We start from the raw sequence: 24250 nt of genomic DNA on the forward strand, positions 1-24250 counted from the left end.
AGGTTCCACAATCTTTATGTAGCCTCTATTTCTCCAGGCATAAAATAAACTGAGCCAGCTGTGGTGGTTCACACCTGTAATCCCAGCTACTTTGGAGGGTGTGGCAGGAGGATTGCTTGAGCCCTGGAGTTTGAGACCAGCCTGGACTACGTAGTGAGACTCAATCTCTAAAACAATAAAGAACTGAAACAACATTCCAAAGCATTGCCACAGCCAGAGGTTCAAATATTTATATGCATGCTTCTTGGGAGAAAAGATTACGTCTTGATTAGGGTTGTGGTTACATGACTATGCATTTGTCAAAACTCATAGAACTGTATACCAAGAAAATGGAATTTCACTGTATGTAAATTGGAAAATTTTAAAAGTTAGAATGAAAGGGCGTAAGTATTTGTGTCAATAATTCAACAGAAGAAAATAAATCTTTCATGTCTACTTAAAAGTGTCAGGGCAGAAAATAATACAAATGTTCTCTTCAGTAGTTCATCAAAAATGACGTGTTTGTAAATTATTCTATGAGATCTACTTCTCACCACATAGTGAGGGTACAAGACTCACTTAGCACATTTGCCACAATAGCTCTAGGATTCACTCCCCCCTTCACATTGAATATGCCTTATCATTCCCATAGGAAACACTGGCGAAAAAACAGAACTGGGATTTAATTTACAACTTCATGGAGATGTTTGGAAACCAAGTGTATTATCACATCACCTCTGATGATTATCTTCAAGCCATCTGTAGTTTGGTCTCAAAGAAAAGAAAGTTTGGCCTCAATTTATAATTGAGCAACACACCTCTGAGGCTTTAGAAACTGCATGACAAACACACATTTATTTGTGGTCGTGATCACAAAATCTATTGGACTTCACATAGGAGAGGTCCTCAGTGGCCCTTATAGGGTGGGCTGGAGGTGCAGAACCTGTCTACTCTACCTGGCAACACTGGCCTCAATTTCCACTTCGAGCAGTGAGAGAAGCAAGGTTATAAAAAGCAACTTCTAATTCAAACTGACACATTTTCTCAGAATGTGAACATAAGCAAGCCATTTCTAATTCCAATACTTAGAAATAACCCCTTTTGACATTTTCACAAAAAATGGAATGAAATATATTTAAATATCAGGAGAAATGTCATTAAATATTCTCTGTCATCCCGTTCCTTATATTTTTAATAACAATTTCAAATACAGAAAGGTGACAGAAATTATAGGCAGAGAACACCTGCATATCCACCACCTATTTCTGTTACTGATCTTTTGCTATATTTGTTTTATTAAATATCTATTCATTTCTCCATCACTGTATCCATTGATCATTCCATCTTCTGTTTAACAGATTTCAAAGGTTTTAGTCTGTTTGGGCTGCTGTAACAAAATACCACAGACTGGGTCACTTACAAACCAGAGAAATTTATTTCTTACAGTTCTAGAGGCTGAGAAGTCCAAGATCAAAATGCCAACAGATTCAGGGTCTGGTAAGGACCCACTTTCTGGTCCATAAATGATACCTTCTTGCTGTGTCCTCACATGGTAGAAGGGTTAGCTGTCTTTCTGGGGTCTCCTATACAAGCGCACCAATCTTGTTCATAAGAGCAGAGAGCAGAGACCCCATGATGACCTAATTACCTCCCAAAGGCCCCACTCTCCAACATCATAATATTGGGGATCACGTTGCAGTGCATGAATGTTCGGGGCACACATACATTCAGACTAGCCTCAAGTAAGTTGCAAAAACTAGTACACTTCAGCATGCACACAAGTAACTAGAGCTCAATATTTCTTTATGGCTCTTTGCTTAAGGGAGATTTACATACACTGAAATGCACAAATCTTGAGTGAACAATTCAAAGGATTTTGACACATGAATACACCTGGGTAATACACACCCCTGTCAAGGTATAAAGCATTATAGTCAACCTACAAGTTCTCCCGTGTCTCTTCCTGGTCAAACCCCCACTCCACTCTCAAGAAAGTACTGCTCTGATTTTTTTCACCACATGTTAGTTTTTTGATATCATGTTAATTTTGGTTGCATATTACTCTATTGTACCATAGTTTAAACATTTTCGATACAGTCATGTGCTATGTAACAATGTTTCCGCCAATGTCAGACCGCATGTATGACGTGGTCTCTGGCTGCATAGAGAGCACGTAAGTTAAGTGTTTCGCTGAGACTTAGGATGCCTCGAGGATGGAGTGGTTAATTCATTCCTATGGATTAAAAATGTTTCCGGAATGCACCACTTAACAGGGCAGAGACAAGTGATGTGGTATGCTCTCTAGGACCTGTATAGAATAATGTCTCCTCGGCGGAGCTTGCAGTGAGCTGAGATCGTGCCACTGCACTCCAGCCTGGTTGACTGAGCGAGACTCCGTCTCAAAAAAAAAATAAAAAATAAAAAATAAATAAAAGTATAATGTCTCCTCAACCTTTTTATGGCATAATAGAAGAATAGGCTGGTTTATGGTGTAGGCTTATGGGAAGAGAGAGGAAATAGATAAATAGATTTATTTATTGAAAATAAAAGAAAGGGCTGGGAGCAGTGGCTCATGCCTGTAATTCCAGCACTTTGGGAGGCTGAGGCAGGTGGATCACCTGAGGTCAGGAGTTTGAGACAAGCCTGGTCAACATAGTGAAACCCCATCTCTACTAAACATCCAAAATATTAGCTGGGAATGGTGGTGTGTGCCTGTAATCCCAGCTACTCAGGAGGCTGAGGCAGGAGAATCATTTGAACCCAGGAGGCAGAGGTTGCAGTGAGCCCAGATCGTGCCACTACGTTCCAGCCTGGGCAGCAGAGTGAGACTCCATCTCAAAAACAAAACAAAACAAAACAAAACAAAAAACAGAAACAAAAACAAAAAACCAAAAAAAAAAAAAAAGAAAAGAAAAGAAATGAAAGATGGAATTCTTAAGAGCTTTGGGTCACCAAAATGAAATAAATATATGTCCATGTCACCATCATGCAAAGGCACTCAAGCCTTTGAAATATACTCCATTTATTTACTTTTCAAGAGTTTGAGCTGAATTCACTTAGAAAACCCCATGTTCTGTCAATAGACTAGGTTTATGATGATGATTTTTAAACCCAGTAACCTATACATTCCTCACTGCCACTGCCTTATGCATGGGTGGTCACTGTATTACTCCCATTTTGCAGATGAGGGAGTGGAGGTGCCAGGTTGTTAATGAGCTGGTCAGGGACTGCTGGAAGTAAGTGTCAGGAGTGAGACTGGAACACTGTATACCCCCACCTGGCTGCCTCTCTCCCGCAGAACGTGTAGATTGAAATAAAATGAGCCTGACAGGGGTTTCACCCAGTTCCGGACCATTGCTTCTCCCTGCAGAGCTAGCTTTGATGAGGGCCACCTCCATAGGAAAGAAATCAGCAGAGGAATCAGCTCTGGATTCTCAAGAAGCCAAGGTGTATTATAATAATTCTGCTTTCAAAACCCCTGGGACAGGCTAAGTAGCCCACCCACCAAATGCACACAGAATGACCGTCATCTGTCCAGCAGATGAGACGCCTGGGAGGTCAAGAGAGGAAACTGAAGCCCATGTGGAGGCTTGTGGCTCACAGTAGCCTCAGCCACCAGGCCTCCCTCCCTTCCTTGAAAGCTGCAGAGATGTGCATGCCTGCAGCCTGTTGAGAAATCTGGTCTCGGGCCAGCCAATCTGAACTCCACTCACACACACTTTTCTAAGGTGTGAGCTGAGAAGGGGCCCCCAGATGTAGATGTCTAGGAACAAATCCCAGGCAGCTGGTGGGATTTGCTCTCTGGTTACTGCTCATGCCTCTTCCGTCTTCCCCACTCTTGCATCTACTCTGTTTCAGACACTTGGTTTTGTGCAGCTTCTCCCATGCCAGACAGGAGGCAACACCCATTGGAAGCTGTTGGTGCCGCAGCGTGCTGGCCTGGGCTGAGATGGTGTGAAAACCCTGCCCGTCCCGCTGTTTCCTAACTCTCCCAGGCAGTGACAGCCTCTTGGCCTGCTCCACTGGCAACGCCTGCCGTGGGGTTCCACCAATTCATCATATCTCCAATGTGCAGTTGCTGCAGGCAGTGCGATCTCTTGGCGCTTCGCTGGGCTGCCACATTTGGAATTGATTTGGGACTCAAAAAGGCTGTGGATCGAGGAAACTCTAAAGCGTTGTTCCCTTCTATTTCTGGCCACCTATTTCTGAGCTGAGGTAGTGGGATCTGGCCAAGTTGAGCCAAAGTGAAACTGCTGAAATCAAGAAAGATAGTAGCCAACGTGACGGCAGTGGGTGGTGAGAATCCCCTCCTCCCTCTCAGTTTCGTGGACTGTCAGTCCGGACGCCTGAGTGGGGCCTCGCTAACCCTGCCTGCTGCTCTTGCTGCCAGGCCTGGCATCCGTTTTCCATCTCTATATGATTGTTTGCCCTGAGCCCAGTGAGTGCTGTCTGCATCTCTGGCTGCCGCAGACAGCAGCCTGATTTCTCAAGCTGGACATTGCTTTGATTTCCCCTTGGCCTACAGACCACACCACAATTCTCCCTCTTCTCATAAGCGCAAGCATCCCTTTGCAGTATCTAAAGGTTCCTGACGCAGTGGAGGTCCTCAAGATTTTCCTCCCCTTAAGCTGGTGCACCGTCCCCTCCCCATTCCGCTCTTACGCCTCAAATCCAATTGCATGGACATCACCAACTGCATGTCAAATGGTGATGTTAGAAACGACTTTCCGTAATGATCCAGAAAAAGTCCCATTTTTCACAAAGGTTTTTTTTTCTTTCTCCATGACTTAGTTTTACATATGACTATTGTTTGCAATAAAGATCAAGTTTTGCAATCCATCATGCTCCCTTCCGACTCCCCTGTCCCCATGGTACTGTCTCCCGCTCCATGTCCGAGTACCCTCCCTCCTCCCTCAGCCCCCACCCTTTGGTGGGCTGTGCCAACAGTGTAGCAAGAGGAATTTCTGGAAGGAGGCCAAATTTGGCTTCGGATCATTTCTCTTCAACACACACTGGCCTCTGAAAACCAGATTCTGTTTGTCATTTGGTTTGCTCTCCCAGCGTTGTGTCATTCCGATGGTAATGCTGATGGATTTCAAGCTTGCCTCGTAGAGTAACGCACAAGGTTTTCATAAGCACATTAATCTTAAAAGAAAAACTGTCAGATGCAAACAATACCCATATGACTGATGTTGTAAAGACACAAACTAACTCTTAACATCCATTCCCAAGGAATATTATCTTACAGGGGCCTGATGTTGCCTTTAACTCTCTTCCAACATAGGTACTTGTGTTGCAGGATTTTGTGGCACGTAAAAAGCTTGCTTTCTACACCAAAAGGCTGAGGATTAATGGCCTATCTGCTCATTTGCCAAGTCCAAATAATAGGCTTGGTCACATGGTGGTGTAAATAAGACCATGATTACAAGAAATATGTAATTTAATTAGTTTTCAGAAAATATAATATAAGCAGTCCTTATGAAAACCAAATTGGAAAATCATTATTCCTCAAGTAAAGGGACTCTGATCTCCGCAAAACCCTAAAATCTCATTAGCAGATGAGACATGCTGCCCCAAACTCTTTCCCTGGTGGAAGAGTTCTTAGATCACAAGCTGATTTGAAGGCATTTTCCCATTTTGTTCCGAGGTTTGCAATATGTGTGGTATGAATTAAATATATGATATTACTATAAATGTGTGCCAGGCCATGATCAAGAACAAGCTAGTAGCTTGCATTAATTTAATGGTGTTGAAGTGTTCCACTGTAATTAAGCATCTGAAATTCAAATAGAGACAGTCATTAGGCTCAGCGATACAAAGCCACCAGACCAAAGACTATAAATTATTTCAAATAGAGGCCTCAAAAAAGTGTTACAGGGTCTGAGATGAGGTTCTTCAACAGGGGTGAGTAGTCACTGGCACTTAGGGCCATCAGTATTAATGAATACGGTTATTAATGAATACATTGAGACTGTCGACGGAGGAGCCTGCAATTTGTTAGCAATTGCCATATCTGGCTAAAAATTTCTGGACAAGGTTAGGCCCAGGTACTGTGATTCCACCTTCCTCCTACAAGGTCAGTGTGGTTCATCACCTGAAACAGAGGTGGGGCCAAGCAAGACAACTTCATAAAAAGATAAAGGAGACTCAAGCCTTTAATGTTCACTGCCAGGCCCTGAATTCTCAGCGAGGGTCTCCTCTGGCCGTAGACAGACCTCATGGCACTTGGGCCGCTCAAGAGTCCAGAGTCCTTGCAGCCTGAGAAGGCAGCAATATTTCCCAACGCTCAACATAAGGACAAGTACCTGCTTTTCCTTTCATTTTAATGCCCACCTTTCATGGAAGTGAAAGATTGTTGTAAATTTGACCAGGCAAGAGGATTGCTTGTCCTTCAGATCATTCCCTGAAGGACAAATATTGTCCTTAGGAAATATTATACAAAGCTTAGGAAAATATTGTATCTAAACTCCATGGACATTTTCAAGGGCTATAATGTTCTTTCACAAGACAATGTAATATTTTTTAAACCCATAACTGAACCATTGGATTTAGCAGGCAGGGCAAAATCTTGCTATCCTCCTTCTACGAAACAAGCCGGCTGAGAAATACAGGCCTTTCCTTGGGACACACAGCTGGTGAGTGGCCGAGCCGGCATAAGAACCGAGGTCTTCTGATTTCAAGATCAATGTCTTTTCTAAAAAGCAAAATTGACTCCTGGTAGGAAACAGAATAAAACTTGTGCTACCTTAAATGACTGCATTTGCCACTGTGTTGCCTATTTCACAATACACTTTTACTTATTCATAAGTTTGAATAACAAAGATAGCAATGATTTTAGAAATTTTTTAGTAAGACTTTTGACAATATAATGAAAACAAACGATTATTTAAGGTACACAAATTTGCAATCCGTGTTAGTGGATTTGTGGATCAAGAAGCCATCCATGGCACCTGGGATCTCCATTAAAATGTAATGGATAGATAATTAAAATCTGTAAATTCTATTAGGTCTTCACCTTACAAATCATCTACTAAATATTTTTGAAAACAGGCTTAGTCAAATTCCCCAATTGCCTTCTTTGCCTCTCCTCCCATCAGCCGCCTCCTAGTGGAGGTAGTGGTGAGCACTCAGAGCATCCCAGTGGGGCTCTAGAGGGGGCTACAGGAGTCGTTCAGGGACTGGGTAGCCTGCTGGTCAGAAATCCCTCTGGGAAATTCTGAGTGGGCTGCATATTAAACCTTAGAGGAGGGTTTGATGTTCCTGAATTGAGAACAAAGTGTTTGTGCCCCAACGTTCTCATCCCTTGAATAGCACAGGGAAGTAATGTGCACTCTGGAGTCAAATGCCAGGTTCAAATCTTGGTTCAGGCACTTCCTGGTTTGCATGGCTGGAGGTGAGTTGTCATTTATAGCCCTCAATTTCCTCGTCTGTACAATGGAGATAACTTGGTTAGTTTAGCCTCCCAGGGCTGTTGTGAAGCTCAAGCAAGATAGTAAGTGGAAATGCCTGGAACGATGCCTGGCACAGAAAAGTTGCTCAGCAAGCCTCAGCTCTTCCTAGCAAGGCCAAGAAGGAGCACATCAGTTTACAACCATATGGACCCAGTGGAGTGGGATAGTTGACAGTGAGGCAGCTGCTGTAATTTCTTCGGTAACCAGGCAAGACCCGACCTTGAGGTTTGCTCATCAGCTGCATTTATAGTCCTTGTGGGGCTAAACATCCAAGTTGGCATTTTTCTTCACTTAAATTGGTAAGGTAAAGAATGTTTTATCCAAAAGGGGCCTGTTTCCTTTGGAAGTGACTGCGTTGTCTCCTTTGTCCCCTTTAATTGTTCATTTGCTCTATGTGTGTGGCTGCTGTGATTTTCCAGTATTTCAGATGCAGGTCCTCTCATGCAGGGGCTTAGCACTAGGTCATAAAACTATCCTCACCTCACGAGTTTCACCTTGGAAACAGCTTCTATTCTTAGGTGTAAAAGGAATGTTCCCTGGAAATAGTCTTTTTTTTTTTTTTAAACTTATAAACACCTTATCTTCTTTTTTTTAAAATTTATTATCTTTTTAACACAGGAAGCCTCTTCACCTCTTTTGAAATTCAGAGTTCCAATTCTGCTTTCATGACCTGAATGGTGAGTATAATGCAATTCAGGTGATTCCCAGCTGGAAATACTAAACAACACTTTTTTTTTCTGTGCTCCAGTGACTGCTGCAGAAAGGGACACTTAGAGGGGCCTTCATTATTAATGAGTTACAGTTGACACCCTGGCTTGGGCAGCCATTTCTCAGTGTGTGCTCCCATCTGGGGCAGCTCTGGCTTGGGAGTAGAAATGACTCAAGTCAATCCACCAGTGGTGGGAGAACTCAGACTTCCTTGCACTGCCAAGAGTCAGATGCAGATGCCTCTGTGCCGGAATGTGCAGTTGAAGCAAAGGATCAAGAAGTCCTAGGAATGATGACACACTGAAGGTCATGGTCAGAGCATTGCTGCATCTGAGCTCCAAGCCACTCTGTGGTTTCTGAACAGAATCTGCTTGTGGTTATCAGGAATAATGTGATAATCTCTTTGCTGTCCAAAGTTACCCACACAAAATTTCTGAGACTAGAGATGAGAAAAACAAATGGAACGGGATGGCCAATGTCCCATTCCAGAGAAAACAAAATGTATCCATTGGTAGAGTGTTTTATGCAAGATCATTATGAATGGTGAGAGGACTTCCCCTCAGATTACCAGGCCATCACCCATCTTTGCCTCCCATTACATCAAAACCTGACATTTTTCAAAATCATATCCAATAGCATCTGACAGCTTCTACACATGTTAGGCTTCCATAAAAGTTCTAAATATCTGCTTTATTTTATATTGGTGTGTCAGTAGGGTCGTATGCCAATAAAGCTAATAAAATAAAAAATTAAATAGCAAGGCCAAAAATGGATGATGAATATTCCAGCAGTGATAGCCAATATAGTAGTTGAAGTTGAACATTAAAATGTTGGGGAAACATGATGGAGTATAGAACAGCGCATCTGAAGAGGAAGCAGGCCAGCTCTTTAAGAAAGACAATTTGGGTCTAAAAAATGTTCTCCTTGATGGACATGTTTTACTGGTGTTCTTCATGCTGATTTGCTGATAAAGTTAAAGCTGGAAAACTGTGCTTCATATGACGTGAATAAACTCAGCTTCAAACTTGACATTTTTTTTTTTTTGAGATGGAGTCTCACTCTTTTGCCCAGGCTGGAGTGCAATGGCATGATCTTGGCTCACGTGATTCTCCTGCCTCAGCCTCCTGAGCAGCTGGGATTACAGACACATGCCACCATGCTCGGCTAATTTTTGTATTTTTAGTAGAAATGGGGTTTCACTATGTTGGCCAGGCTGGTCTCAAACTCCTGACCTCAAATGATCCACCCGGCTCGGCCTCTTAAAGTGCTGGGATTACAGGTGTGAGCCACCACGCCTGGCCTCATCTGTGTATTTTAAGTAAGCAGGAATTGTAGCTCTCTAAATTGTAGGTGAACAGGAGGATAGCATTTAGGAAAAGAAACAGAGCAATGGACTCTGGCCTGTCTTTAGAGAGCTCTTTGAGTTCAACTATGTTTGGGAACAAAACACTAAAAGCCTTAAAGACCATTTTAAGTGGACTACATAGTGTTTTATTTTCCTGTGCTCCACACAAGGGGGGTTGGATGTTACAATAATGAAGCTCTTGTTACTGCCATTTCCCAGGCTTCTGTTGGTGGAAGGAGACTACGTGCTGAGCATAAGTTTGGCAATGTTTTCCATGAAAAACTAAGAAGGCCAACTCTCACCAGACTCCTATCATCTTGTCATATTCATGTGATGACCCAACTTACCCAACCCTCAAAATGAGGGACACTTGGCAACCAAGCTCTGCTCCTCTGCTGATGTGAATGTGTTCCGAAAATTCAACATATGCCTCCTGGAAAATCTACACTCAAGGCCCAGTGGAAGAATGTACGATCTGCTTCCTGACCTTGAGTGGCTTCTGATATAATAAGCATGGGCAAGAAATGCATTGGAATATAGCTTGTACATTTGCTGGATTGTGCTGAAGCCAATCTCAGATGCCATTTCATCAGAAAATGTTTCAGTATGTCTCGCTAAGAGATTAGGATTTAAAAAAAAACAAACACACAACACTACTATGCACCTAAACAATTAACAATAATTTAAAAATATTTTCTAACATTTTGTCAGTGTTCACATTTCTGTGGTGGATCAATAAATGAATTTTCGCAGTTGATTTGTTTGAATCAGAATTCAAACAAGGTCAACCCTCTCCACTGGTTGATCTATCTCTTAGGTCTCTTTTATTTCTTCTAATTTTACTTTTATGTGTTACATACCCTTCTGTTTTCCACTGCCATTTATTTACAGAACGTGTTAGGCCGTTGTTCTGTAAAATTTCCCACATTTCAGATTTGGCTAATTGCATCCTCATGAGGTCATTTAATAAGAACCTTTATCTTATAATTCCTGTAAGCTGGTGATTAGATTCAAAGTTTTTATCAGATTCAGTTTTACTCCATGGGCCTGGGGCTTCCTACTGCACCATACAGAGACACATAAGGTCCGGTTGTTTCTCTCTTTGTGATATTAAGATTAATAATTGGAGACCAGGAATGGTGTCTCACACCTGTAATATCAGTGCTTCAGGAGGTTGAGGCAGGAGGATCACTTAAGTCCAGGAGTTCAAAGGTGCAGTGAGCTACGGTCGTGCCACTGAACACTGCACTCCTCTAGCCTGGGTAACAGAGAGACACCCTGTCTCCAAAAAGAAAAAAAAAGAAAAAGAAAAAGAAAAAGATTGATCATTTGGTTCAGATGTTGACAGCCTTATTGATGAATAGGATATCATTAGGGCCGTGAAAGACCTGAAGACAATTTTTTAACTCTAAAGTGTTCCGGGTATAGCTAATAAACTAATATCAAAAATAGAAACCTCATAGAGGGAAGCAAAGCAAGATGAAGCTAGAAATATGGATAATAATACTTTAAAAACACATATAACAGGCCATGTGCTAAGTGCTTTGCATATATATACTTAGAACAGAGTCTGGTGCATTGCAAGACTAAATAATGATATTATTGCCATTGTTAGCTTGAACCACTTTACTCTACTACCTCCCTAAGTCAGCCTGGTAATACAGAGGAGGTGAAGATTCCTCCCTAGGCAGAATGACCTGGTTGCTCAAAAGTGAGAAATGGGAACTCCTCTCCTTTCTGTTTTTGGTAACATTGAGCCTGGACAATTTGTGGAATGTTTGGCCATAGGTGCTGCAGAGTAGGGAGGAGGAGTATTGAAAGTTGTAGGTTGGAGAATAGCATTGTCAAAGGCATTTTAGAATGAAGAACTGGTCAATTACTGTACACAGAAGGAACGGCATAGAATGGCAGGATAAGAGGCCAAGAGAGTGGGTTCAGAGCTTTGGTAATGGTCAAGCTCAGACCTCCAATTCTATGGGTTGTTCCTCTACTAGGTGACTTGAAGAAAGACAGATTCATAGCTCACACCACACATTTAGGTTAACCCTAGCGGGTTAAATATGGAAAATGATGCCATGAAAGTACTAGACAGAAGCATGGAATAATTTTTTATATCATGGAGGAAGGAAAGCTTTTCTAGTTGTAACACAAAAATCCAGAATCCATTAAAAAGAAAAGACTACTCTGACTCCTAAGAGTCAAGAACTTGTACATCAAAAAAAAAAATCACCATAAGCAAAATCAAAAGACAACTGAGAATCTAGGAAAAAATATTTGCATCTTATATGACAGAGAAGTACAAATCTTTCCAGTATGTGAAGATTTCCGAGAATCTGAGAAAAGGGCCAACAACCCAACATAAAAATAAACAAAAACATTTCACAAAACCACTACAAAAGGGCTTAAACATGTGAAAAGATGTTTAATCTTATTCTGAAGAAGAGAAATGCAGATGTAATTGTAATAACTGTCATGATATGTAATAATAACTTACCATCCAGCCCTATTAGATTGGCTGAAAAAAAGTGACCGTTGGGGGCAGAAGATGGTACAACCCTTGGAAAGGACCATTTAGGAATATTTATCAAAATTACAAATGCATATATTATTTGCACAGAAATCCTACTTCTGGAACTTATCCCACAGATGCATACCTGTGTGCCCACAAAATGTCAAAGAACTAGACACAATTCAAAGGCTAAAAACACTTTGGTACCTCAGTAAGTGGAACACCACGCAGCTATTAACAGAGGCTGTGAGGTTTTCCATGTGCTGTTATGGAAAAATCACTGGAGTCAGTGAATACAGGCAAGTGCAGAAAGAGTACCTGGCATGCCGCCTTTTGGGTAAGAAAGGGAAAGAAAAGACCATGTACTCTTATTTGCATGTATTTGCATAAAAGGAAACAAAAGAAGCAGATTAAAAACTGACCTCAGGGAGGACAGGGCAGGGTGTGAGTAAGAAGGCTTCTCAAGGTGGACCTTTATGTATCGTGTGGACCCTCAAGTCATGCGAATATCTTACATATTTACAAAAAATAAAATTTAAAAACGGCTGAGCGCAGTGGCTGTAATCCCAGCACTTTGGGAAGCTGAGGTGGGTGGATCACCTGAGGTCTGGAGTTCAAGACAAGCCTGGCCAAAATGGCGAAACCCCGTTTCTACTAAAAATACAACAATTAGACGAGAGTGGAGGTGGGTACCTGTAATCCCAGCTACTCAGGAGGCTGAGGCAGGAGAATCGCTTGAACCTGGGAGGCAGAGTTTGCAGTGAACTGAGATCATGCCACTACACTCCAGCCTGGGCAACAGAGCAAGACTACGTCTCAAAAGAAAAAAAAAACATTTTAAACATGAATGGTACTGGGTCTGAAAGGTATACAGCTTCTCAGGAAGGAGAAGTCTTGTGTACCAGTATGTGTAACAGGAAGCCCCAGCAACAAGGTGCACCCTGCAAAAAGCACTCACTGGGGAACAGTGGCCCATGATTTTGAGGGGGCAATTTTAAAAATGTGTCATGGAAGGGGAAGCACTTGAGCTGGATCTTGGTTTCAACAGGTGCTGATTGAGGAGAAGCTGACAGGCAGTGGATAGCAGGAGGAAAAGCTCAGAGGAGCAATGTCTGGGTGAGTGTGGGTAGCAGCTGAGAGCACCATGGGCCTGCTGGGAGCAGAGGGCACTGGAGGACAAAAATGGCCCTTGGGGTCAGCACTGGGGGGCCCCACCTGTCCAGATGGGAGCCTGAACTTTATTCTGCAGGTGGTGGGGTGCCATTAAAGGGTTTTGAGTCTCTTTGAATCCATTGGAGCTGCAGTTCTATTTATCTGTTCATGCATTTCCTGTGTGCCTAAGACAGTGGGCACTGCTCCAGGTGCTGGGGCACTGAGATGAACACCACTCAGCACCCAGCCAGTAGCTGGTGATCTCCTGGGGAGACAGGTTTATCAAAAATGACTAGGGGCCATGTGCTGAGGGAGGCACTAGAAGTCTGAACCAAGTAACAGGAAACAGGTTCAATTCATTCATTTTAGGGGAAGATGGAGGCCTAGGGGAGCCTCCAGAGAAGCTGGGATGCTTAAATAAAAAGTGGAAAGGCTCATCTGGTGGATGGTTACTGTTGTAGAGATTCGGGAGGAGAGAATGGTTAGTGTTGTGGAGATTTGGGAGGAGAGAAGATGCTGGAGTCAGGAATCCAATCAGCAAAGCAGGTGAATCAAGGCATCTAGGAGAAGTTGCCTGGAGATGGAATGAAGGGGGTTCCAACTGTACGAAAAGTACCAGTGAAGCAGGACAAACAGGATTAGGGGTGATGGTGGTTGAGATGAGGTCATGGGGAGGTGGTGAAGTGGAAAAGAGGGTGCCGGAGTCACAGCCAGGAGAGGGGCAGAGCTGGGAGAAAGAGCCTGTCAGCCTCCTAGGGTCCCGAAGGCCTGTGTCATGGGGCAGGAGTGCAGCTGGTGGCTGGAAATGAGAATCAGGGCTCTGGGAAGAGGTGGCAGCTGGGGAGGGGGCTGTGATGTTGGAATTCCTGTGAGCATGGCTTGAAGCAGTGGATACAGCAGAGGTCCTCCAGAGAGGAAAAAGTAAGACTAAAGAGATTGAGAATTGTTACATTTTAGGGTGCAGGGGCTGAAAGGAGGAATGAGTGAAGGAAGAGAAAAAAATCACAAGATTTGGGCGATCTTGGGGAGATTAGAGCCTTGAGAGCAGAAAGGCAGAAGGGACGGAGGGCAAGGCATGGCGCAAAGACCACTCCGGAGAAGCCTGGAGCACGTTCTGACAAAGGCAGCAGCAACGGACAACCACAGCAAGAGAGGCTGGCTGAGCCAGAGGTGAGGAGAGTGAGGAGGGAAACAGCACTGTCCTTTCCATGGAGCTCGAAAGTGAGAGAAGACAGGAGGGTAGGCCAGGGGTCCATGCGAAGCAGCGGCACGGTCCCACAGCAGGCTGAAGATGGGGCTCCCTGAACTGCAGGGCTGACCCCACCATCACATAAGAAGCCTGAAGGCTGGACCCAGCCCTTGGCTTTGGGGAACCCCCAGTTACTAGCAGCTGGGCAGAGACCCAGAAGACAGACAATGGCGGAGAAGTTGGTGTCTGAAAGTCAAAGTTAAAGGAAGCAAACAGGTGATTCTGCCCACAGTCCTCCCCCACTGAAGCCCACGGGGGCCCTTGACTGGGCTCCTTGACTCCTGCCTTTGCTTCCCTCTGCGGTCCGACCCCTCAAGGCCATCCTCCAAGGGCTGCTTTGATTTCCAGGGGTTGCTCCCAAGACTGAGTGTTTTAGGGTGGGAGCACAGAGAGGAATAACATTGTGAAAGTGCAACTCAACTCAGAAGAGATTTTAAAAATGAGGCTTTGTTGCTTTCCAGGGAGGAATATCTAGGATGCCAGCAGGCTAAGGCTTGCAGAAATTCTGCCTTAGTGAATAGCTAAGATCGTCTCACAGTTAGCCAAGCAAGGAAGTCTGTCCGAGCATCTTTCCTCTCTTGGCATTCCGAGCTCACAGCTCATCTGGCTTCCTCTTGATTTCTCAGTACCCTCATGGTTAGTCTTGAAAACCATGATAACAATTATGTATTATATGAAAATTGTCATCTATTATAGCTATATAATATTATTATAATAACAATCATTTATTGAGCACTTGTTATGCAGCTGACATTGTACCAAACTCCTTATCTTTTTCATCTCATTTAATTGTTGGCCATCCTCACAAAATGGGTTCTGTTGTGACTTCATTTTCCAGATGGAAAAACTGATGTCTGGAGGTTAGATGACTTGCCTGGGTCACAGGATGCAAGTGGGTGAGTCAGGAGGCCTCTTCAGGCTGAAGTCAATGTTCCACCTCCCAGGACTTGGGCCTCTCCCCTCGCTGGATGCCCCCCTCAATTCAGTAACCGCACTTTAACCTGCCTTTTGGGCTCATGAGTGATCAACTTCAACCCTCTTTCCTGCTCTCCGCGCCACCACATCCCACACTGCCCAGCTCCTTTCTTGAGCCAAACTGTCTCAAGCCTGCTTTCCTGTGACTTTACCTCTGCGACCACCTTTGCTTTCCCAGGGAGACGTTTCCTGTCCTTCCTTTGGCCTCTGGACTTCCGCCTGTCAAACTCCACCCATTGGTCAAGGTCCGTCTGAGATGCCAATTCCTTCCTGAAATGCCCCGTATTCTTTGGCGGCCCCTGGCCTCCTCAGTCTCAGAAATGTGTGTTCACCTTGTTTCTGCTTACAGTGGGGCTCAAAGTATTCTGCTACAGCACCCCCTCCTGGTTCCCAGAGGTAAATGCCCTGCCACTCCGGAAAGGGACCTCAACCTGTTCTAGACAACCAGGGCGGCATTTTTAAATGTTTTCTATTCTGTCCTTCAAATGGACAAAAATTTCTATCCTGCGCCAGGAAGAGTTTACACTTGTTTTGATATCAAAATAATGTTATTTTCCAAAATCATTAGGTGAGGTTGAGATTTCAGGAAGACGTGCTTTCCTGTGGTGGGCCCTTCCTCCATCCCACTGCCAAGTACTAAAAGGAGAGGCACATCCAAGTTTAAGAAGCAGGTGAGCAGAACACAAAGTCCTCAAAGGCAAAAACTGCCTCTCGCCCTGCCTCACCAGCGGGTGTCGACTGTAGAAAGAATGAACTTTATATTTGCTCAAATGGATTACACGTTAACATCACCTCTTAAAGGGTCTGAAAATCATTTATTTCTCAGCAGATGTGGGTTTTCCTTGTGATCAAAATGACTTGATTAATTTGCTCAATGAAGCTATTTTTTAGAGCTGGTATGAGCCCACCAACATAGTTTATGTTCCCAAGTTCTAATTTGTGGGGTCCCTAGGAAGTTCTGTCGCTTTTCCATTTCAGAAATCTACATGTGCTGGAAACAGAGCCAGACCACATTCTTAAATCGCTGCATTTGTCACAGAGCCCTCCCACCTCCATATTCGTTGCCTTTCTCTTGCTGCTGAGATTCTAAGAGACCCGATGTTAACCTAACTCTGACGTGGCCCTGCTGTAGCTCAGCCTGTCCCCTCCTTGCTCTTGGGGCACCACAGGCTAAATCATTTCCTTTGGGCAAGAACTCCCACTTTCTCAGAATAATTCCTCCTGCCAGGGCATGGGGGCTGTGGCTGGAGCCACAGAGATAGAAATCTCTGTGTGATTGGGTAGCAATGATTTTATCTCCATGCCTTCATCTTTGCAGCAACAAAACTGTTATAACAAACCCACATGGTTGGCATGGCATGGGCTGGATTTCCCGGCAGGCAGCTGGTGTACTGGGAAGAGTTATGGAGATTGATGCCTGTGAGGGATGAGGAGCAGGGCTGACCAGGAGAGAAGTCTGACTGTGATGCAGTAGCAAAACAGATCCAAGCTGATCTTCCGTGGAGCTCTGGTGCTGGGATGGTCCTCAGAGTTGTCCTCCATTGAAGCTTTTGTACCCCACAGTGAGTGGTCCCCAGGAAGGGGGTGTTTGCTTGGGTTTTATGGTTCTCTTTAGCCTAAGGCAATGGAAAGGAGGCTCTGCTGTGAGCCACCAGCCTTGAGGGAATGAGCGTCTCAGTGCTGGTGGGGGGATCTGGGCATGCTGGGCAACGTTAGCTACAATACACAGCTGCCCAACCTCATGGTGAACAGAGGCCATGAGCTCCCTACAGCACTCCACCGCATTAATAAGGACGAATAACTAGGAGCCTGCTTATCCCAAGAGTACAACATTTTCATAATAGAAGATGTCACTTCACTAAAATCTTAGACATCAGGCACCTCAGGGATTGCGGAGAAGTTATAGATGGGGGCAACCCAAGAGAGGCGTGAATTTTTTGAAAAATGGTAATTTGGGATAAATGGAAGAGTCAAGTCTCACTGTTCCTTAGTCAGGAACGCTTGTCACAAGCAAAGGCCTGCTCAGAGAGCCAGTCCCTGAACCCCAAGCCCAGGCTTGATTTGTAAGGGACTGGGCCCATTCCCTGAGGGAGCTCCTGGTGAAAGAACATGTTCAGAAGGCAAACAAGGAAGGGGAAAAACCACACTCAGGACAAAAAAGCATAACAGTAAACACAGAAGTAAAATATCTTCTTCTTTCTGGCAAAGGAAGAGCTTGATGTTACAGTGGGTTTAGCCAGAACAAGCCGGTGATACCTGTTTAGCACAGGGCCCAGCATTTCAAGAGGACTGGGCCTCAGGAAGAACCATAGTTCTCCCATGGTACAGGAAAATACCTGGCCAGCTGTGGATTGCCGTCTTCCTCAGCTTTCTGAAACTGGAGAGCGTATAGCTGTCACTCACCACCTCCATCACTCATCTTCTATTGGCAACAGACGCTGCTAACCCTGTTTCCCTAGTGAGTGTCACTTCAGGGTCTTGAATGCAGCCCTGTGAAGTGCTTCTGAACCAAGGAAGAACATGACAAGCTAATGGAAACTCAGAAAAATAGGGCTGTTTTCTTCTCGAGACTCAATTTAAGATGGCTTGATTTGTACATATTTCTATTGGCAAATCATTCACTGCATGTTTAACAGATGTCCTATAAAAGAGACACAAAGGCCGGGAGCAGTGGCTCACGCCTGTAATCCCAGCACTTTGGGAGGCCGAGGTGGGCAGATCATCTGAGGTCGGGAGTTCGAGACCAGCCTGACCAACATGGAGAAACCCCATCTCTACTAAAAACACAAAATTAGCTGGGCGTGGTCGTGCATGTCTGTAATCCCAGCTACTCGGGAGGATGAGGCAGGAGAATCACTTGAACCTGGGAGGCGGAGGTTGTGATGAGCTGAGGTCATGCCATTGCACTCTAGCCTGGGCAACAAGAGAGAAACTTCGTCAGAAAAAAAAAAGACACAAATTAAAATGTATTAGTTTTTTAAAAGTATAGAAAAATAAGCAGGGCATAGTGGCTTATGCCTGTAATCCCAGCACTTTGAGAGGCTGAGACAGGAGGATTTCTTGAGGCCAGGAGTTCAAGACCAGCCTGGGCAGCATGGCGAGAGAAAAAATTAAAAAATTAGCCAGATGTGGTGGCGTGCACCTGTAGTCCCAGTTACTCAGGAGGCTGAGGTGGGAGGATGGCTTGAGCCTGGGAAGTCGAGGCTGTAGTGAGCTGTGTTTGTGCCACTGCACTTCATCCTGCTTGACAGAGGAAGACCTTGTCTCAAAAAAAAAGTATAGAAAAATAGTGTAATGAGAATAATGGCCAGTGATTCAGCATCTCCTGTCATCAAGTGTTTTCTGTGGTTAGGTGATTTGGCCCTGGCCATGACCCTATCATATAGATGAAAACACTGAGGTCCATGAGATCCATGAGATTAAGCCTCAGGAGGTGGAATCCAGAACATGGATTTCAGCCTGAGGACTTTTGAGCTAAAAAAAATGGCTGGACTTGTCCATATTGTACTTTTCTGTAGCCAGGTGGTTTTCTGAGTTCGAGGTGCATATGCATTTTTTGACCTATAAACACTGAGCCTTAAAGAGCATGTGTAGATCCTCTGTGTGCTTACTCGACAATGAAATACACACACACACACACACACACACACACACACATGCAGGCACTAGCCATGGGTAGTAGCTCTAACAGTGTCTGGTCACAAATTTTTTCAACCTTCCTAGCAGCCTAAATACTAGAGCTGCAAAGAGAAGCTCTGAAGGCACAATGAGAACAGAGGGTCATTCATTAAATCCCCACTCCCTCTGTAATGAAGGGCAGGTGAGTACAGCCTAAAATGGCAGAAGAACCTCAAGCCTGAGTCGTAACAAAACGCCATCAAACCCTGCCTAAAGCTATTCGTCCAAATTAAAGTTCTGCTGAATGTCAAGCCCCAGCCAATTCCACAGCTCCTCTTCCACAGTTACCTACACCCCAGTTTAAAGAGAAAGTAAGACGAAAGTGCCTGATTCACTCTGCCCAAATCAGCTGGCTGACATCGCAAACATGAACACATATCCCGCACATGAAATGACCAGCCCCTTGCAAAACGAACTGGGTTATATTTTGGATAACAAAATTGCATAACAGAGATTAAACCACACAGAATTTGGGCTCAGCCAGAGGTGTTATTATGCAAAACGAAATGGACAGTACCGTTACAGGGTACCCATTACAGGGGAGCAAACCTCTCGCCTTGTTGGCCTGCCAAAAAGAGATATTCCAAGTGTAGAGCATTTCCCAGTCTGACGGATGTTAATTCAATTAGCCACTTTGCCAATGTTGAAATGCCTAGAAACCTTGTCAAAACTCATTTCCTCAGCATACCCGTTCATAAAATCTACAGTCCTGCACCCTCGTTCAGCATCTGTTACTGCATTTCCTGTAACCCTATAACCCTTAAGCTTCTGGGTGTTGCCGAGAAATACCATATATTAAATGTCATTTTAAGGACATTTTAGTTTCTGTTGTTGCTATTATTAATTTTCATGTACCTATAAATTATTTTAACATCATCATATAACACACAGTTAATTTTACTAAAGTGGATGAATGTAAAGAATATTTTACAAGATACTTTAAAAAAACCGATGAGGTTTCTAAAATATGCATTTCAAGATCTTCTCAAGAGGTGTCCATGCAAGATTTTAAAAGATAAATGAGACCCAAAGCCCCTCAAGAATTTGTGTACTTGCTCTTTTAGTCTTAATAGTGACTTAGTAACAACATTTTACAGCTAAAAAGAATCTGAAAAACCATTGCTTACAATGCTGTACTTTTATGTACCTTTTGAGGACAGAAAGGTCCTACAGTGATGCGGTTACTTCCATATTTTTTGCAACTTGTTTAAAAAATGAAATGACGTTTGTATTTTAGAATAAGCGTACAAAACAATAAAAATCAAATCAAATCAAGCAGTTTAGATTTTAACATGTATTACCAAGGTGAGGCTAGCGAAAATGAAAAGGAGCTTTCTTTTAGTTGATTTCTGAGACTTGGAAGAGCATATGTGAAGTGTTCTATGAGGACCACAAGTCTGGGTCTGGATAAAAGCAACACTCAGATCTGCAATGCAGTAGTCCCTAGCCAGTGTGCAAAAGTCACCCCCGTTCTAAGCTGCATGGCAATGAAATAATGTTAACAACCCCACTAGTCATAAAGATACAAACTACACTGAGCCCTTCAGAAGATTCTGTATTTCTCAGATGGCATCAGAAGCTTGAGGGTTATGATTGCTCTGTGACCTTACATATCTAGAGAACTGTGCTATTTAACAGTGCTAAGAGTAGAGTTCAACTCCCACCTCCTCGGACAATGAAATCATTCGGACTCCCTCACTGGGTAGCATTTATGATTCATTGCCACCTCTCCCAAATTTGATCTGTCAGCCCGAGAGGCTAAGTCAGTTGCTGACTCTCTGCTGCTCCCCAACCCCTCCAGCTTACTGTACAGTGAAGCTGTACGGACGGTTATACCTAAGCAGGAGGCTGGGGTCACCTGTGTGAGGGCAGGAAGACAAAGGGATCTTTAAAGATGACAAACGTCAGGCAGCCAACCCAGCCTGGGAAGGCAGTGTTCTCCCTGTTTCCAGGAGGGGTCAAAGTGACATAGTGTGACAATGCCCAGGAAGGCTGTTTTAGACATGGATTTAAATATATTTTCATGAGCCACTGTAAGGTGTTCACAGAGGTGAGACCAGTGAGCCACCCGCCTTTCCTCTGGCATCCAGGAAAACACTTGTGAAGCAAGAAGTATCATGTTACACCAGCCCTTCTCTTCCCAGTTTCTCCTAAAACAGATTCTCCAACTTCAATACGCATTAGAATCACCTGGGCAGCTCTTAAAAATCCCAGTGTCCAGGCCACAGCCCAGAAAAATTCAATCGGAATCTCTGGGGATGGGTCCCAGGCATCAGGGCCTTCTAAGTCTCCCTTTGGTGAATTCAATATGCAGCACCAGTTGAGATTCAGTGTTTCTTAAAGAACCCTTTACAAAAGCAGGACTGGTTGAAGTGGTGTCTATTCAACGGCACAGAACTGAACATCGGCTCTAAATGACTGTTCAGTCGGCTTATTGCAGGACTGGGGAGAAGCACTCACCCGCGGTGGTGATGCGGCTCTTTTCCTGCATAAAATCTACAGACCCTGTCTAATATTTTCCATGCCAGGCAATGAGATCACAAACTCCAAAACATTAAATCAAAACCGGAGGCATTACAGGTCTTCAGTAAAACTTCATAGTCCGTACACAAGGGGGGGGAGAGAAGAAAATTAAAACCATCACCAAGCTGCGGACATATTATATGTGTGAGTGTGTGCATTTTTTTTGTGTGTGTATGTATGCATGTACGTATGTATGTATGTATGTATATGTAGCAAGCATTGGGATGTCATAGCAATTAGAGACAAAAATATGTAGAACAATAATTAGTTAAAAGTGATTGGCTAGGCAGACAGTAAAAAGTTACTCACAAGTAAAAAGAATCCATTTGTGCCTTAAAGAAAGCTCATCATAAAAGATCCTTGATTCCTAACAAGGAAAATGATTTATGCCAAGGTGGGTGGAAATAACAGTGATATACATATGATAAATTAAATGAACATGAAGGAGATCCTACTTTCATGAGAATATTCAATTATAAAGGACTTCAAGACTTCTGAGTTTACAAAACCGTGTAACAAAGTCTTTATTCCAAAATAGCGGTGTTTCTAAATAGTATGCTGGATATAAAAAATAAAAGCCTTAACATCTAATTCTAATCATAATTTTAATGATGGAAGAAATGGATAACTGAAGATGGGAGCAGTACTTTGGTTTTAACACCTGCAGTAGCTGCAGGTGTTAGCGTTCCTTTAGCAAACCTTCTACCTATCTCATTTTCAGGGCTTGAATTATGTTTTTGTGTGGGTGTGTGCTGAAGATTGGAGAGGACTGATCTTTAATAAGAAACTAGACAAGTCCAGGCAAACAAGGACTGGCTTGACATTGTCTTTAATCAAGACAAAGGGCTCCACATGGGTCCTTCACCTTCCTTGTCCATTATTCAGGTTCTATTACCATGTAGGAACAGAATTTCCAAAGCACTACCCTTGCATTCAAGGGCAACACACTTCAAGCTGGTTCCAATTAGGCTGGGCCAGTGTGGATGTCTCACACGCGTCAATATTTGCAGCTGAGCTAGTCAGATCTGCAGGGGTATCCTCTAGACAGCAGGAGACCCTTCTTACTGCTGCCTTTGTGAACAATCCTGCAGGCATTTACACCACCTCCCTCTCGCCTCCCTTCACAAATACCATTTCTATCCTTTGTACCCCTGTGGCTACTCTTAGATCTCCCCTTTTCCAAATACCTGGGAGATATGCCACATGGACATTTCAAGTTTCCCAAATAATTTCCATTTTATTAGTGACATTTAGACTTAATACTGTCACTTAAACATTTTTTGAGTGCTCACTGCGAAGGTGGAATTTTGACCCATGTCTGGAAATTTCTGCAGGCATTAATGTTGATGAAATGAAATTAAATCAGATCTAATTGCACAGTAGAGGTCATTTTATATAAGAGGAAATTGAGGCTTATTTGACATGCTCATTGCCAGGGAAAGAGAGAGACATAATAGCAATCTGCAGAACTCGATTTGGGGCTAGTGAGAATATACACACAAGAATGGCAAGAATGCCAGATCCTCCTGAAGGCTCTAGAAACCGTTTCTTCCTACAAAGGGCACCAACCCTCTGTAGTTTATTTTTATCAGCCAAATTCCACGTTTAAAATATATCTACTCCAAAGTAAATGTTATTAATGTAGTAGTCAGATCCCTGCATTGCAGGGTAGAAAGTATCTCAGATCTTCGTTGCCAATACTCAATTTCCCCCTATTTATTTCTAGTGCAGGTTTCACAGCAAATCTGTTTTCTAATTTGCTTTTTTCTTACATCTCTGAACAGAATTGAGGAGCACTGGTCTTCCACCGTTTTGTTAATCACATTGAAAATGTTCACCTATTCTTTTTTATTCATTTCACTTTAGGAAAATGAAAAAAGTTGTCCTGGCTTCTCTCGCCATGCATTGCCAAGGACGTTGCTCGCTGGTAGTGGCCAGTGTCAGCGGAAACGGTGCTCCATCCACCACAGCTGACCCGACTCATTTTCGATAATAAACATTTCCAGGGTAGCGAACATCATGGAGGCCTAGGCAAAGAACCAACTTTACGACCGCCTTGGTCAGCAGCAGGCCAAAGGAAAATAAGCCGCGGGAATGGGTCCGCGAAGCCAAGGACGTTATTTCTCGCTCTTGGGGGCTCTGTTTTAATGCCAGTTGGCAGGGTCCTCAACACCTTCCATTTGGGGTCTGGAGAGTCTGTGTGTCCTAGTCAGGAGAGGCAGGTTCTGTGCAAAACGCACTCCCCACCTCGTCCTTGAGGATCCACTCTGTTGGGAGGACGCTCTGACCTTGCGCTCCGAGGCGGCGCTCACAGGCGCCAATTCAGAATCTAGTCTTCCTCTCCCCTTCCTCGCTCCCTCCTTCCACCGCCGCAGTCATTCCCCGCGGAGTTTCGTTGTGTTGTTACACAAGCCAGCTTTTGGTTTGTTAGTTGTTCGCATTCCCCCAGGGTTTGCAGCTCCCCGATCTGGCTCAGCTCTTCTTCCCATAGTTTCTTTGCAGCTAGCAGCTCCTCATTTCTCTTTTCGTCAATTTTCTTCTTATTTTTAAGTATGATGTGGCGGATCTTTTTTGCAAAACTACGGGCATGTGTACGTGTGGAGCTTGGTACTATAACCTGATGCATAAAGTGCGTTTTTAGCCCGAGCTGCTTTTTTATTTTCCCCTTCAAACGTAAATTT

The 24250-nt window shown here is 43.7% G+C and overlaps 1 long non-coding RNA gene across 1 annotated transcript in view, besides 1 other annotated feature; it reads right to left on the reverse strand.

Annotated features, from left to right (window-relative positions):
- Window positions 1–24250, reverse strand: part of LINC01726 (long intergenic non-protein coding RNA 1726) — a 92799-nt gene that overhangs the window by 66985 nt on the left and 1564 nt on the right. The window lies entirely within an intron of this gene.
- Window positions 23315–23920: an enhancer, noted in NCBI's record as "H3K4me1 hESC enhancer chr20:21681724-21682329 (GRCh37/hg19 assembly coordinates)". NCBI's record gives its function as "activates a minimal SCP1, AML or CMV promoter by ChIP-STARR-seq in primed H9 embryonic stem cells {active_cell/tissue: H9 hESC(primed)}" and the evidence as "EXISTENCE:reporter gene assay evidence [ECO:0000049][PMID:30033119]".

Source organism: Homo sapiens, chromosome 20 (genome assembly GCF_000001405.40).
Source record: "Homo sapiens chromosome 20, GRCh38.p14 Primary Assembly".
In the NCBI taxonomy this organism is placed as follows: Eukaryota; Metazoa; Chordata; class Mammalia; order Primates; family Hominidae; genus Homo; species Homo sapiens.